This window comes from Homo sapiens, chromosome 13, assembly GCF_000001405.40.
Source record: "Homo sapiens chromosome 13, GRCh38.p14 Primary Assembly".
NCBI classification, from domain to species: domain Eukaryota; kingdom Metazoa; phylum Chordata; class Mammalia; order Primates; family Hominidae; genus Homo; species Homo sapiens.
In genome coordinates, this window is record NC_000013.11 from 52,851,034 (window position 1) to 52,867,140 (window position 16,107).

General features: G+C 44.4%; 1 annotated feature.

The window, feature by feature from the left end:
- Positions 310 to 519: an enhancer, noted in NCBI's record as "active region_7796". NCBI's record gives its function as "activates an Ori minimal core promoter by ATAC-STARR-seq in GM12878 lymphoblastoid cells {active_cell/tissue: GM12878}" and the evidence as "EXISTENCE:reporter gene assay evidence [ECO:0000049][PMID:35858748]".

Sequence of the window (16,107 nt, forward strand, 5' to 3'; positions counted from 1 at the left end):
GACTCGGGAGCCCCGCCACGCGCTAAGTTTGGGTTTTTCGCTTGGCCAGAGATTCGGAACTACTTGCAATTTCTACTCAAAGTGCTTCCGCGTCAGCATGCTCATTCTCAAGGCTGAAATAAACCAAGGCGTGCTTGAAAGTGGGAAAAGGAAAGGGGAGTAGGGGCAGGCAAAAGCCAGGAGGCGGGAGGAGGGGTGTAGGGTGGCTGGTAGCAGGTCTAAAGTGTTTTTTCCGCGGCCAGGCCCTCGTCGATCGGAAGTAGCCACGACGGCGGCGGCGCCGGGAGGCTGAGAGCTGGGAGCCGGGGAGCCCGGGAAGGGAGCCGCGAGCCTCCAGCCGCCACCGGCGCGCACAGGTCTTTCCGTGCCGGCGGTGGAGGTGTGAAGGCACGCGAACACCGTGAGCTCCGGGCCGGCAGCGGACAGCCACTCGATTATGGAAATACGATTTAAAATAGCACATCAACGTCCGCAGCAACTCCCCGGGAAGGAAAATATGTCCGGGGAGGTGGCGCTGGAGAGGAGTAGGGGAAAGGGAGGGGAGCTCGCCCGCCCGGGTGCTGATCAGGCCTCACAAAAGCCGCTCGAATCGCCTTGTTATCATACCAAAAGGTCTGGGCAGGCCCAAAGGAGCCCCTTTCTCTCGGTTTTAGCAACTTCGCCGGCAACTGTCTCGCAATCTTGAGAACAAACACAGCTCCACAATGGCCGGCGTTTTCTCGGAATGCAAATGTTGCGGGCTCCGCAAAGCTGGGTTTCTGTTACCGAGCCTAATGCCGGCATTGTGAAACTCGCGTGCAAACACCAAGATTGACATGGGCGTCACGTGATGGATTAGGGCTCCAGGAAAGTTTTCAAAGAGGCGACAATGGGGGGCTCAGACTGATCTGATATCTCCCACAGTTTAGCGGGAAAGAAAATCAGGATATATTCTCATATGTAATAGGATTATCTTGTCCATTTCAAGTTCTATACAGCATGTAATTTATTTTTAATTAGGATTATATCTACCAGGAAAGGGTACTAGACTTCACTGGAAAGTGTAATTCTAAGGATGGATGAAGAGGGGTTATTTTTTAAACTTTTACTTTTTTTTTTCCTTTAAAAATAAGCCCAGGGCCCTGGTTTTTCCTCCTACAGGCTCACCATTGGGTAAACCCCTCAGGGAAGTTTGCAGCAAGTGCTTGGCCAAGCAAAGAACAGAGGAAGCTCTTCGGGGCATCTAATTCATTTTTGTAGTGAAAACACACTTTGCAAAAATCTCATCAAATTCTGAAGCCTCTGGGTTTTCTGGGGTTGGTGCACTAGAAATGCAACCAAGCTGTTTTCTACACTCCAAATTCTTTTTTTTTCTTTTTTTTTAAAGTTATCTCTCTCTGTGTGTGTATTTGTTGGGCTGTCAGTATAGGCATGGTGACTTTTAAACTGTATAGTAAACCACAAAGCAGCATTCTCCATAGCCCTGATTCAAATTCAGCAGTCAGACAATGAGACAATTTGGGGGTGAAGGTAACTGTTATTTAAACATTGATTTTGGATTGATTCCAGTGCCAGATGCTCACAAACCCTGGATCATTTCCAGATCTTGGGCCACTCTTCATTTTGTGTGTTCTGTGTGTCACTCTGGGAGACCTGCTTTACCTGATAAGAAGCAGAACGCAGCTGTTGACTGCAGGATCTGGAATCATCCTGCTTGGGTTCAAATCTGATCATTACACTGATTGGCTGTGTGACCCGTGCAAATTATTTTCTCTCTGTATTGTTTTTTGTTTTTGTTTTCTGTTTGTTTTTTGAGATGGAGTCTTGCTCTGTTGCCCAGGCTGGAGTGCCCTGGCGTGATCTCCGCTCATGGCAAACTCTGCCTCGTGGGCTCAAGCGATTCTCATGCCTCAGCCTCCTGTGTAGCTGGGATTACAGGCCTGCACCCCCACACATACCCAGCTAATTTTTGTATTTTTTGGTAGAGACGGGGTTTCACCGTGTCACCATGTTGGCAAGGCTGGTCTTGAACTCCTGACTTCAAGTGATCATCCTGCCTCAGCCTCCCAAAGTGCTGGGATTACAGGCATGAGCCACGGCGCCCGGCCTGTCTGTATCTTAGTTCCTTTATCGGCAAAATGGGTATAATAATAGTACTTTGCAAAGTTGTTTTGAAGACTGTGTAAAATGATATAATATCAGGTGCTTAGGAACACATGTTAGTTTTTATTTCCCTTTAAAGCACAGGGAAGAAACATCAAAGACTATGTAATCTAAACCTCTTATTTTATAGGCGAGGGATTTGTTCAGAAAGAAAAATAACTCTCCCATTTCCTGTCTGCTTCTTTGCTTTGGTGACAACTGTCTCCCCAATTCCCTCATTCCTCTCTGGAAATAATAGGTATTGTGGTAGGTATATAGATCCCAGAGGAAAGAGACAATGGTCACCTGAGGGTTCCACCAATTTTTGTGCCCTCATGTCATTTCAAAACCTTTTGGTACCTTACTTGCTAGTTGAGATCAGATGTTGACAAAAAGGAGTTCTCAGTAGAGTTTTTTCCTACTCATTTCTATAAAAGCCATGTATTCTGACTGAAACCACCTACAGATACAGATATTTAATGGACAGGAGCCCATAATTCTGGAGGAGCAGAATATTTCAAGGGACTTTCCCTCCTGGACAGTGGAATGCCTGGATAGTGTAATGCCTAGGAGCAGCAGGTGACCTCCTGCTGACTTATACTGAGCCAAGGTACAAAAAGTGTTTGACCCCTCTATTACTCTGCTAGAGCTGCCATAACAAAATGCCATATACTGGGTGATTTAAACAACAAACATTTATTTTCTCACAATTCTGGAGGCACGAAGTACAAGATCAAGGTGCCAACAGGGTTGATTTCTCCTGAGACCTCTCTCCTTGGCTTGCAGATGGCCGCCTTCTCTCTGTGTCCTCATATGGCCTTTTCCCTGTGTGCTGAGCTCCCTGGTATCTCTTCCTCTTCTTAAAGGGACACCAGTCATACTGGATTAGAGCCCACCCTTATGATCTCATTTAATCTTAATTATCTGATTAAAGGCTCTGTCTCCAAATACAGTCAGAGTCTGTTGTCCTAGGAGTTAGGCCTTTAACTTATGAGTTTTTGGAGGTCAGTCTGTAACACCTTCATTCTCTCAACCAATATTATTGAGAACTTACTAAGTTCTAGACTTTGTGATAAATGCTGTGGAAACAGATTAAAAAATAAAGTATCCATACTGATACAAATAAATGATCAAATAAATAAATAGGAAAGAAGAGACAATTCTACCACAAGGAAGACTATTGAAGAACTTATGTAGTAGATTCTCTGCCCACAAAAAAGTGGATCATAATCTCCCACTCTCTAAGTATGGACTACGTGGATTGTGACTTTCTTCCAAAGAATACAGTATGGAGTGGAGAGAAAAAGAGTAACTTTACATGGAGAAAGCTGTCAAACACTCCCTTGGTCAGGTCCTCAAGGTCAACATCAACAGTGATAGGTCATGTTGACAGTATGCACCCTAGGTGTGGTGTGATGAAAATGGCACTTTATCTCTGTGATCTTCCTCAAGACCACAGAACTTCAGTCTCATAATGAGAAAAACATCAGATAAAACTAAACTGAAGGATGATATTCTGCAAAAACTGACCGGTATGCCTCAAAACTGTCAAAATAGTCAAAAACAATGAAAATCTGAGAAACTGTCACAGCAAGAGCTTAAAGAGACATGATGACTAAATGTAATGTGGTATTGTGGCACAGAAAAAGGACATCCGAGAATAACCAAGGAAATCTGAATAAAATGTGGGCTTTAGATAATAACAATATTAGCTATTAATTGTAACAAAAGTACCATAGTAAGATGTTAATGACAAGGGATGTGGGGTTATGGGAACTCTCTGGACTAGCGCTACAATTTTTCTATAAATGTAAAACTGTTCTGAAATAAAAAGTTAGATCCTGCCAACCCTGAGGATGAGGAGACAGAAGAGTAATCAGACAGCAAATGTGTGTGAGAAGTGCTGTGAGGAAGGCCCACACCGCTGCTGATCACAGGTGGCTTCTTGAGGAAGAGGAATATCTGGACATGTGGCACGGGGCCTAAGAACGGTACAGGTATGCTCTGCCTGACTGTATGAGCCCAGAGGAGGGAGGCCAAATTGTGCTGGGAAATGGGAATACTCAGGGAAAGCTTTTGGGTGACATTTGAGTTGACTTTTGAAGGATGAATAGAAATTAGCTAGGAGTAGAAAGGGAGAAGGTAGGGGTGGAGATGAAAAAAGCATTCCTTGCAGGACGAACAGCAAGTGAAACAAAGGTCTCAGGGCTGGGGTGTAAGGCTCTATGAAAGGACCTAGTGAGTACAGAGAGGTGATGAAAGCCGGGGTGAGCAGGTGGGTGCTTTGTGTATCTTGTTAAGGCATTTGGGTTTTACTCTTAAGGCAATGGAGAGTGTTGAAGTATGTCACCCTGACATAAACAGGCTCACCAGAGTAAAGTGAAAGAAAATCAGGTGCAGGGAAAGGGAAGTGGAGAAAGAAGCCTGCGCTGGTGGAAATTTGACCTGGAAGGAAAGTCAAGGGTAATTCTCTCAAGTAACTGTTTAGGGAAGAGTAGTGAGTGACTGGTAAGGCCAAATCCCAAGAGACTCAGGGGAGAGAAGAGCACACTCTGATGACACTTGTTCGTCTATGGGCTGAGCCTGAGGACTGTGTTTCCTACTATGAGTCCCATCTCCCTCCAACCAGGAGCTGAAGCAAATGGTGTAGGAGTTGCTGGTTGGTGTTTTCCAGCCATCACCAGCCCTCTGGAGAATGCATTTCCTCCTGGGAGCCTCCTCTTGAGTTTAGTTCCAAGAAGAATGCAGATGGACAGTGGTGGGAGAGAGGATTTACTTTTTCTCAACAAGTTGAGGCTTCTCTGGGTTCAACCACAAGCAAATCTAGTGGCACCTCAGTGTATCTTCTGTTGGACATCTGTCCATGACAAATGATGGTGGGGTGGAAGTGGGATGTTCTCCAGCTGTCCATGGCCCAGGGGTGTTTCCCTTAACACCCGAAGGATTCAGTGTGTGTGAGGAAGAAATTAAAAATTTCCCTGGAGCCTTTTGGCTGGAGGGTGTGGGATATGGGATGTGGCCTGGGTTCCTACGACCTTGTTTTTGGTGCTTGGGCACTTTGAGGCAGAATTGGAAGAGATTACAGAGTTCATGGGGGAAAAAGAGGTTGTGGGTAATGAAGTAAACCTTCAGTGAAGAACCACAAATCTGTGCCTAAACTACATGCAGGAGTTGTATAGTTACATAAACTGGATGGTTTAATTGGTCTCAGAGCCTAAAATATGTTGCTACAAATTTAGGGTTTTGTTATTAATAAATCCCACATGACTTAAAAGAAATTAAGGCAGGTCGCTAGAGCCTTTTCTAGGCAGAGAGAATTTTAATCATTGGCTAGTCTTTTTTCTTCCTCCTCAAAACATTGTTCTGTAAGTGCAGAAGACTTCTGACTTAGGTCTTCCTTTGCATCTGACAGCTTGAACTCACTTGCTTTAAGTGGGTCACAATCCACTTTTGAAATGGAAATGAAGTCTTCATGGCAGCCTCTGCCTCAGAACCCTGGGACCCAGGACCAGCCAAGACACGGTGGAGCCTGATGTTATAAATTTCTCTATAGATCTGAGAGCAGTTTTACACCATTGATCTCACGTCACCCAGAATTGAGATGGAGTGACAGCTGATAAACTGCATGGTGACAGGCTATGGCCTTGGAAAAAAAAATCCAGATGTGGGATTAAAAAAAAAAGAGCTGATGGATTAGTTATTGGCCCTCGAATATCCCTTACCCTGGATTCCTTCCAACCACTTTAGAAGCATTTATTTTCAGGTAATTTTACAGTTGTCTCTTTGTCCTTCAGAGGTGCTTTGGTCTATGAAACCTCTCAGAGAATTTAGATGAAATCATTTTTATATGTATTGCCTGACACCCCCTGGAAGTCCCAGAGCCCTGCTCTTAGGTCTGAGCCTTTAGGGGGCTTTTACCTGCACATTCAGGGGACTAGGGATGCAAGTAAACCATTGGTATTCATGCTAATTTATGATTTTGTAGCAGAATTACCCAGTCTATAGCCCTCAAGCACCACTTGCTTTAATGGGGCAAGTGGGGAGGAAGGCACATTGGTGGGTGTGGGAATGGGAGATGGGTTTCTCCTTGGCCAGTATTTAAATGAGTGGGTTTTTTTTTTCATGCTACAATTAAACTTTTTGAATCACCTTTTGATTCCAGCTCCTCTGTCCAAAGGGCCTGGGACACCTTCAGAAAGATTTTGAGTAGGCGAGGTGCGAGGGCCTGTGTTGGAGAGATTGGGGAATGTGGTGGATTATTTGTGTTCGGAGGATGAACAAAGGTTGAATTCTTGCTGCCCTGGCTCTGAGCTCCTGCTTTGGTGTCCAGTGTGGGAACCTGAAATGGGGAAGAATGGGCTGCTCTATGCATTGAACCGCGAGCCCTCCCGGGCATGGCCGTTCGTAAGGCATCAATCTTGCTTTGCTTTGCCTCGCCTCAGGAGCCTTGTATAGAGGCCTCTGGTCTCAGGGGACAGAGAAGAAGGTTAGATGGAGGGAGCAGAGCCCCCACAGGGAAAAATAATGTGACAAGCTGTCAGAACACGGCGACTGGGTGACTCCTGTTCCCTCAGTGGCCAGGGGGCCCCGCCGGGCCCTGCATCCTTCAGGGCTGGGAGCTGGAAAAAGGGAACAATATAGGATGTGTGATAGATTACACACCTTTCCATCAAACCCCAGTGGAGGCTTTTGCTGGACTTTTGGAAAAGGAGGAATGGAGTGGCTTTCCCCAGGAGTGGAATGTTGTGACTAGATTATTTTGGAGAGGGAATTCTAGGAATAAGGTGCCATGAAATCTATAAGGACCGGAAAGGCTGCCCACTGAGGTCAACTGTGCAGGTAGGCTTCTAGGAGAAAATGTAGGGGGCAATAGCAAAACATAACTTGTTTAAGTCTGAGATAGGGTTTCCATAACATAGGATGATTATATCCATCAGGATGGGCTAAGTTATGCTTCAGTAACAAACAACCCCGAAGTCTTAGTGTCTTCAAACAGCAAAGTTTCTTTCTTTCTTACTCTCCATGTCCATCATGAATTGGCTGGGGGATGTGTTACATGCTGTTCTCACTTGGGGACCCAGGCTTATTGACCAGCCACCATCTGGAACTTTCTCCTTGCTGTGGCAGAAGGGAGAGGGTATGGAACAAGCTGTGGATTAGCTTTTAAAGTTTCCACCCAGGTATGACAGACACCACTTCTGCTTACATTTCTTTGTACATTTCAAAGTCCTGAAAATGTAGAAGAAAGCTCATTGGTCGGTAGAGGGAAGGCTTGAGAAAACAGAGCAGGACAGTTGGACAAAACCTTTAGAAAAGCGGAGTGCTAGGACATGTATTCTGAGCTTGCTTTCCCTTCTCAGGTCTTAGACAAATCCTTACCTTTTTTTCTTTTCTTCTTCTTCTTTTTTTTTTTTTTTTTTTTGTTGGTGGCAGGAAAATGGCAATTGGGAGGAATGCTGGTCAACGGCATATGTGCCTCTAAATTCAAAGAAGGTCAGAAATAAATTAGAAGTGTCCTCATGTGACACATTCCTTCAAGTATAGGGTAAATTACAGTTTCTGACTAATTGGTGGGGAAATCTCCCGAGAGTGAAAGATCAAGTATCGGTAATGGGATTACATGTCCTCTCACTTGCACTTGGGGAAAACTTGCATAAACCATCTTCATTAATTACAGTCCTAATGGCTTTTACTTTTACCACCATCAACCTACCACCAAGATCAAAAACCTTTTACTAAGCAACTTTCAGAATGTGGAACTAGGCATGCTGAGTGCTTTACAGTTTGGTTAAATCACCTGTTTAGCAAAAGTACTTAGGACAGAAGTGCTTAGGACAACTAAACAAATACTGAGAGCAATGTGAATATGAATATTAACACTTTGGGAAGGCTGAAGAACAAATATTTTTTGCAGGGCAATCTTTGCAGAAGGGATCATGAATGGTATTTAGGAAGAATTGAACCAGAAGAATTTAATTCATTATTGTGTGTGTAATTCACAGTACTAGGCACTGGGGTATAAGCTCTTGCCCTCTAGGGTGTGGTGGTCAGTGGGGAAGACAGTCACACTGTCTTCACAGTGTCAGTCACGTTGCCCAACTTTAGTGTAAGGTAGTTAGTTATAGATAGAGATTTGCCCAGGAAAGGAGATCAGATTCTAGGAACTTATTTGAGAAGGAGAGGCGATAGTGCGGTGAGCTCCTTGGGAGAAGGAAGGGGCTGTTTCTGGCCAAGTATTGGACTTGGGAGTATGCATAGGGTAAGAATAATTGCTACTATGTACCCTCAAAGTTCAGTTATAACCACCAGTATCAAAAAGAGCTGGGGACTAAAGTATCCCATTAGAGATGAATATAGTATTCATTTATCTTTGGAAGTAGGCAGGTATAAGCAATACATAAAACAATATTTTAATACAGAATTTAGAGAATTGGAGGAGGCACAGGGTACCATCCTAGTCTCCTCATCCACTCTAAGTTGGTTAAATGAAGTGGATAATTCTTACCCTACCTATCTCAGAGTAGAGGTGAGGGTTCTGTGATATAAAGAATGCAGGTCTTTTATGAACTGTAAGGCATTATATATATTAGGCCATAGTGCTGATGGAGATGCTTAAACTAAAGAGACATTAAGCCAGTTGCGCAGAGACAAGTGTGGGTGACAGATGACACAGGAAAGGAAGTGGCTTGGGGTAGCTGCTGAAAGGCAAGTTGGGGACTAGGGCTGAAGTCAATCAGAAAGTTTTGATGCCCTTGAACCATGGGGTGGGGAACAGTGCTAAAGGGAAGAAAGGTAGCACTCTGTTTAGCTGGGGATAGGAGGGGCTAGAGGCTGGATATTGGTTAGACAGGAGGTTTTCACTGCTTCAAGCTCAGTGCGTGGCATTAAGAAGTCACCAATAAGTATGTGTTGGATATATTGAATGAATGAAGAAGTGAAAAGACCCGACTGTCTTGGCCTTAGAGCTCTTCTGAAATAACATCTCCCTCAGTTGTATCAGGGGCACAGATATTGACTCCCTGCCCTGCACACATGCTGAAGACTCCTTTTGGTTGACTTTAGTAAATGTGAGTCAGGCAATCAGGGCAGGGCAGTGTCAAAGATTCAACTCAATACGGGCATCTCAAGGCTGGTCAGGTCTTGGACAGCACTACTAGAAAGTCCTGATGCTACAGATGCAGACGGGGTGACATCTGGACTGTTCGGCCTTCTCCTGGTTCCATAACTGGAAACATTTGACCCTTCTTCCCTGAGAGCCTCCAGACTGACTTTGGCTCCCTAAGACAGGGCTGGCTTCCTCCCAGCCACCCCTGCTTGACTCCAGCTGGCCAAGGCAGCTTAAGCCTTCAGGCCTTTGCTGAATCTTTCTTCTTCATCAAGGGCCTTTATGGCTATGGCATCACTGCTTCCCAGCCTTCATCTCTCCTGTTGCCAAACCCAGCTTGAAGGTGGTTCTAGTTCATTCACAGATAAGCTCATATTACATATCATTTATCAAAATCACAGTCATATATTAAATTCTGTCTCTAGGAGAAGGGGGCGTAATCCTAGGACAGATCTTGGGAAGTTTGCCACTGATACATCCCTTTAATCTGTCCTGGCTGGCTCTGCAGGCGCGCCTATCCTGCTCTGTAGGTGCTCACCAAGGCTTTTTAAGATGCAGCCCTCTGCTGATAATAATAGCAATAATACTTCTAATGATGGCAACGGGTATTGAGTACTTGCTTTTAGCCACACATTCTGCTAGGCAGTTCACATACTTAATTTAATTCTCTTAGCAGCTCTGTAAAGTAGGTCTTATTATGATAAGTTTCAAAGAAACCAAGGCTCAGAGAAGTTAATGTCTTCAAGGGCTCTCAGCTGGTTAGTAGCAAGGAAAGACTTAAATCCAATTCTAATGGTGCAAAAACCCAAGTGCTTTCCATTATATGAAGCTGCACCCCTATTTCACCACCTTCTTACTCTCAAGGGCTCTTTGGGTCCTCTGTCTCCTCTCAGAGGCCCCTCAAGGTTTGCAATGTGCAGAACTCCAGCTTCTCCATCTGGAGCCCTGACCACTTGCCTGCACTCCCACTCTGTTTTACTTGGGCATCTTGTTTGTATACTTAGCTATAATTTCCCACCCAGTAGGCAGCAAACAAAATTCATCACATCATTTCTCCAACTGATAATTTTTTTCTGATCTCTCTTTCTGTCACCAGCACAGAGTCTTTCAATACTTCAGATAGGAAGTAGGTTTACATTTTCACTCTCCCTCATCTCTTCTAACCATCAGTTTTGTTTTGTTTTTGTTTTTGTTTGAGACAGAGTCTCACTCTATCACCCAGGCTGGAGTCCAGTGATCTCAGCTCACTGCAACCTCCGCCTCCTGGGTTCAAGCGATTCTCCTGCCTCAGCCTCCTGAGTAGCTGGGACTATGGGTGTGCGCCACCACGCTCAGCTAATTTTTGTATTTTTAGTAGATATGGGATTTCACCATGTTGGTCTTGAACTTTTGACCTCAAGTGATCCGCCCCCCTCGGTCTCCCAAAGTGCTGGGATTGCAGGCATGAGCTGCTGCACCTGAACCTATCAGTTCTTTTTAGGGTTGTATGACGCTTCCAAATGTTTCTTGCAGCTATTTCTGACTTCCCAGCCTATGGCCCCCATCCTAGGTCAGGCCCTCTTCCACCCAGGCCTGGAAGCTTGAAAGAGCTTCTGAAGTGAGCCAGCTGCTAGAACACATGGCACCTCTACACACATCAGAGAAAGTCTTCTTTCCTCTGGGTAGATGCAGTCCCACACCAGGGCACGTGGCTTGGCAAACAGAGCACAGGCTGGAACCCACTGACTCCCCAGTCAGGGGAACTTGTGCAGTGAACAGCCTGCACATCAGTGCCTGGTGACCCCTGAAGTGAAGACTCACCTTATCTTATATTCTTCACCATTTAAAACATCTCATCTGGAGTGATTTCAAGATATTCAACAACTGGTGTGTCATGGACATTGACCAATTAGAATGGACACTGATCTTAGCCTTGGGGCAAGATCTACAGGCTTCCCACTGAGCCATGCATTAACCCTTTAATTTCTGGATTGTGGGAAGCTGAGGAGATAACTAGGGGAGAGGCTAGGGTAGTACTAGTGATTTATACCGCGTACTGTAGCTGTACTTGAGTATTTTAACAATAAGCACATTACTGGTGCATCCGGGCTGAATATTAACTCGCTTAGCCCACCCTGAGGAATCCTCTACAGGCCCCAGTCCAACTCCATTCATCAATGGTGCCTGATTGTTTCCCACACTTGGCAAACACCAATTTCCACTGGCAACAAGGACCTCCACATACATGATTGTTTCAGGATAGGCTTAAATTTAGGTGTGGTTATCAGAGCAGGTACAGGCTATTTGGAGACATGCCTCCAGGGGGCGCTCAAGATGACCACCTCTTTTCCAAACCTAATCATTCCATTCACCAACAGCCACTTTCAGGAGGAAATCCATCTTGGGGTCAAGATTTACAGGAATCCATAGAGACATGCAAATAGGCTACAGGGTAGGGGAGATAGACAGATTTTAATTCTTTGTATCTAGATTTATAGATGGACATCTACCTACTTGCCTATCTATAAAATATTAAGTTTTACATTTTTTCTTACTACCTTCCATTCCAAAAGGTAGTCCTTAATTATATAATTTTCACTGGACATAGAGTAGAAGCTGCTTGAAGAGCCAGAGGGGCAGGAGAGAAAGGGGTATGCTTCTGGGAGTGTGGATGAGGGTGTACTATGAGTTTTCCCTTTGTTGGGAAAGAAACAGGAGTGCCATGCCCTGGGGAGGGGCAAGGCCTGGGAAGGGGTGGTGCTTCTAGGGAGTCTTGCTTTCTGGGTCTCCCAGCCTTACCTGAAGAGACCATATGGTGTCCCAGTGTACCTGCCGTGACTTATGATGGGGGTGGGGGGTGTCACTGCAGAAGCCCCTGGGACTTTTGCTTGAATCTGGAGAGGGAGCCCCAATACTTACTGCAATGAATTTCTGACTACCTCAGAAGGATGGTGGCTTACAGTTGGATTTAGTGAAGAAAATAAAGTGATGAATTTTTTTTCACACCTGGATTTTTAAACAAAATTGTATGCCTACCTTAAAGCTTTCTCCAGGTCTCTCTCTTACACCTCTCTTTCTCTCTGCCTCTTAAAACATTTTTTAAAAAATTAATTAATTATATTTGTACACATTTATGAGGTATATGTGAATTTTGTTACATGCATAGATTGTGTAGTGGTCAAGTCAGTGCTTTTAGGTATCCATCACCTGAATAATGCACATTGTACCCACTGACTAATTTCTCTTCATTCACCTCCCCACTCCCTCGCCCTCCTGAGTCTCTACTGTCTATCATTCCACTCTCTAAGTTCATGTGTTCACATAGTTTAGCATCCACTTGTGTGTGAAAACATGCAATATTTGACTTTCTGTGCCTGGCTTGCTTCACTTAAGTCAATGACCTCCAGCTCCATCCATGTTACTGCAAAAGACATAGTTTCATTCTCTCTTGTGGCTAAATAGTATTTCATTGTGTATATATACCACATTTTAAAAATTCATTCATCTGTTGATGGACAGTTACTGCTTCTGTCTCTTAACCCATCTCTGTTTGCATTGCTTTTTGTCCTTCCCACATGGATAATGTGGTAACATGGGCCTGGGTTGCCTTCCTTCAGAGGAGAGCCTTTCTGTTAAAGGCAAGCAGAACCTAACAGTGGCTCAAAGCAAAAAAGGCAGGGGTCTCTTGCTTGGGTCAGCTCTACCATAGTCATTAGGGGGAGGAACTCTGCTTGGTTCTGTTTCCATGAACCCTGACTGAGAGCTAGAACCCAGAGGGACAGAGTTAGTCTGTGGACCTAGGGAAGGGACAGAGTTAGCCATTCATCCTGTCTCTGTCCTGAGTCTAAGGAACCAAAAGGGTCCTTGGAGGACAAATAGACTCCTCAAATTCCTTTTCCTCTTCTTCCGTAGAAAGATAACTCTGAATTTTATCTGGGCACATGGCCATGTAAAATAAAGACCACATTTCTCAGTCTTCCCTGTAGCTAGGTATGGTTATGAGAATAAATTCTGGCAATAAAATATAAGCAAAAATGTCATATGTGACTTTGGGGAAATGGCCTGGGGTGCTGTGATCTTCTTTGTCTTTATTTTTATCTTCTAGATTAGGAGTTGGCAAACTTTTTCTGTAAAGGGCCAGAGAGTAAATATTTTCAGCTTTGTGGGCCATATGGTCTTTGTTGCAACTAGTCAACTCTGTTATTAAACTGTGAAAGCAGCCATAGACTATATGTGAACAAGTGGGCGTGGCTATATTCCAATAAAACCTTATTTATTAAAACAGGTGGAAGATGGGATTTGGCCTATGGGCTTTAATTTGTCAGCCACTGGTCTAGAATACATGTGTGATAGCTGGAATGGGAGCAGCCACCCTGGACCATGAGGTGAAAGTCATGTACTGGGGATGGCAGAGAAACAAACTAGAAGGAGCCTGAGTCCCTGTTATCACAGAGCCACCCTGTGAGCTCTTTGGCTTGGATTTATGTGAGAGAAATAAGCTTCTATGTTGGTTATGCTAAAGCATATGCAAATGAACCTAATCCTGATGAACAGATCGTTCATGTGCGGTTAAGCCTAGCTGACCAGACTAAGAGACTATTCAAGAATATGGGATTAAAGCTCCAGCTAGGAATAAAGTGTGCATTTTTTTCAGGGGTATATTCTGTACTCTGAATATCTCCAGAATTTTCCACTCATCTTGATTAAGCAAGGCCACAAACAAAACTTTGGGATTGATCTTTGTGTAACCCACAAGGTGGTGAGCAGCACACAGTGAAAGTTGTTGCAACTGACTTTTTGTCCATGTGACAGGTGCTGGGATTGACAGCATGCAACATTCCCCAGCAGCAGGGCCTTGCCAGCTCTCCACACTGGAACCCAGCATGCTGACACATCTCTAATGAGATTTACAATGTGTAAATGCAAATACACCGAGTTTTAGCACCTTTTAAAAATTTTGGCTGTCAGTCAGAACCTGTCCCTGAAATCAGTAATGTTGGAAGAAGCTCTGGAGTCCTTTAGCAATCCTCCTGATGATTTAGTTTCATGTGTTCCAGTGACTGACTCTGCTGCATTCCTGGGGAGATCCAAAAGCTCAGTTCTTAGGATTTGGGAGTCTCATGCAAATAAAAAAGAATGATGAGGTAACTGAAAATTAAAAAGTTGTAGAAAAACACTGGAACTTGGCTCCAACTTCAAAAACATTTTATTCTATTTCCTCCAAAAATATTCTTTTTTTTTTTTTTTTTGAGATGGAGTTTCACTCTTTGCCTAGGCTGGAGTGCAATGGCACGATCTTGGCTCACTGCAACCTCCGCCTCCCGGGTTCAAGTGATTCTCCTGCCTCAGCCTCCTGAGTAGCTGGGACTACAGGCACACGCCACCATACCTGGCTAATTTTTTTGTATTTTTTGTAGAGACGGGGCTTCACCATGTTGGCTAGGCTGGTCTTGAACTCCTGACTTCAGGTGATCCACCCACCTCGGCCTCTCAACGTACTGGGATTACAGGTTGAGTAATCAGGCTGGGATTGAGCCACCGTGCCCGGCCTCAAAAATATTCTTTTTACAGCTGCTGGAATGTTGTAGTTGACCCCACTAGGAGCCTTGTTCATTTTTCTTTTGCTCCAAGAAATCCTGCTGTTGCTTCTGGGTGCAGACATCCATTTTACAGAGGACATGGGTTTGTTATTCCTGGAGAAGAGAAAGCTGAATGGTGCCCACATTCTGTCTTCAAGCATTTAAAGCTGTGTGTGTACATGGAATACTATGCAGCCATAAAAAATGAAATCATGTCCTTTGTAGCAACATGGATACAGCTGGAGGTCATTATGCTAAGTGAACTAACGTAGGAACAGAAGACTGAATACCGCATGTTCTCACTTATAAGTGGGAGCTAAACATTGAGTACACATGGATAAAAAGACAGGAACAATAGACACCAGTGCCTACCTGAAGGAGGAGGGTGAGGATCAAAAAACTACCTACTGGATATATGCTTATTAACTGGATGAATAAATCATTCATACGCCAAACCCCAGTGAAATACTATTTACCTGTTTAACAAACCTGCACATACACCGCCTTAACTGAAATAGATTTTGGAAAAAAAAATGTGTGTGTGTGTGGTGCTTAATGAAAAAATTGTGGGCAAATTGTTGCTTATATTTCATGAAAGAGGGGAGGAAGGTGCTACTTTCAAACAAGAGTAATTTTGATGAGACCTAAAGAAGAAACATCTCAGCCTTCAGAAGGATGAATTGCTCCCCCTGGGAAGCTGAAACAAAATGTCTAATCTGAGATGGCTAAGGGTGGGGTTAGGAGCACAGAGTTCAGAACTACAGGTGATCCACCTGCCTTGGCCTCCAAATCCCAAAAGTGCTGGGATTGCAGGCGTGAGCCACTGCGCCCGCCCTCAAAAATATTACTTTTACAGCTGCTGGACCTGGCTTCACATCCTGGCACAGCCTCTTACTTACTGGTTGGCCTTGGGCATATTGCTCAACTCCTCTGCACCTTAGTTTTTTCTTTATGGAATGGTGATAGTGATACTGCTGACTCGCCAGGGATGCTGTAAGGAATGGATGTGATAATGTGCACAAAGGGCCAACACAGCATCTGACCAAGAATAAATTCTCAGAACATATGAAATGACAGAAGAGACCTCACTGGTCCTGGGCATGTCAGACATTTGGCCTAAGTGAGGCAGCTTGCTGAACACTGGGCACTCTGAGTCTATCCAGGTTGTATTAAACTGTAGGACCAGAACAACTTCCATTGTGAAGGCTTTCCTGGTTTCCTTCCTTCATGTCTTCACCTACTGGAACTCAGGTCAAATGATGCCTCCACTGAAATCTTCCAGTCTTCCCTGGCTCCCATGGCTAGGTTAGAGCCCTCACCACA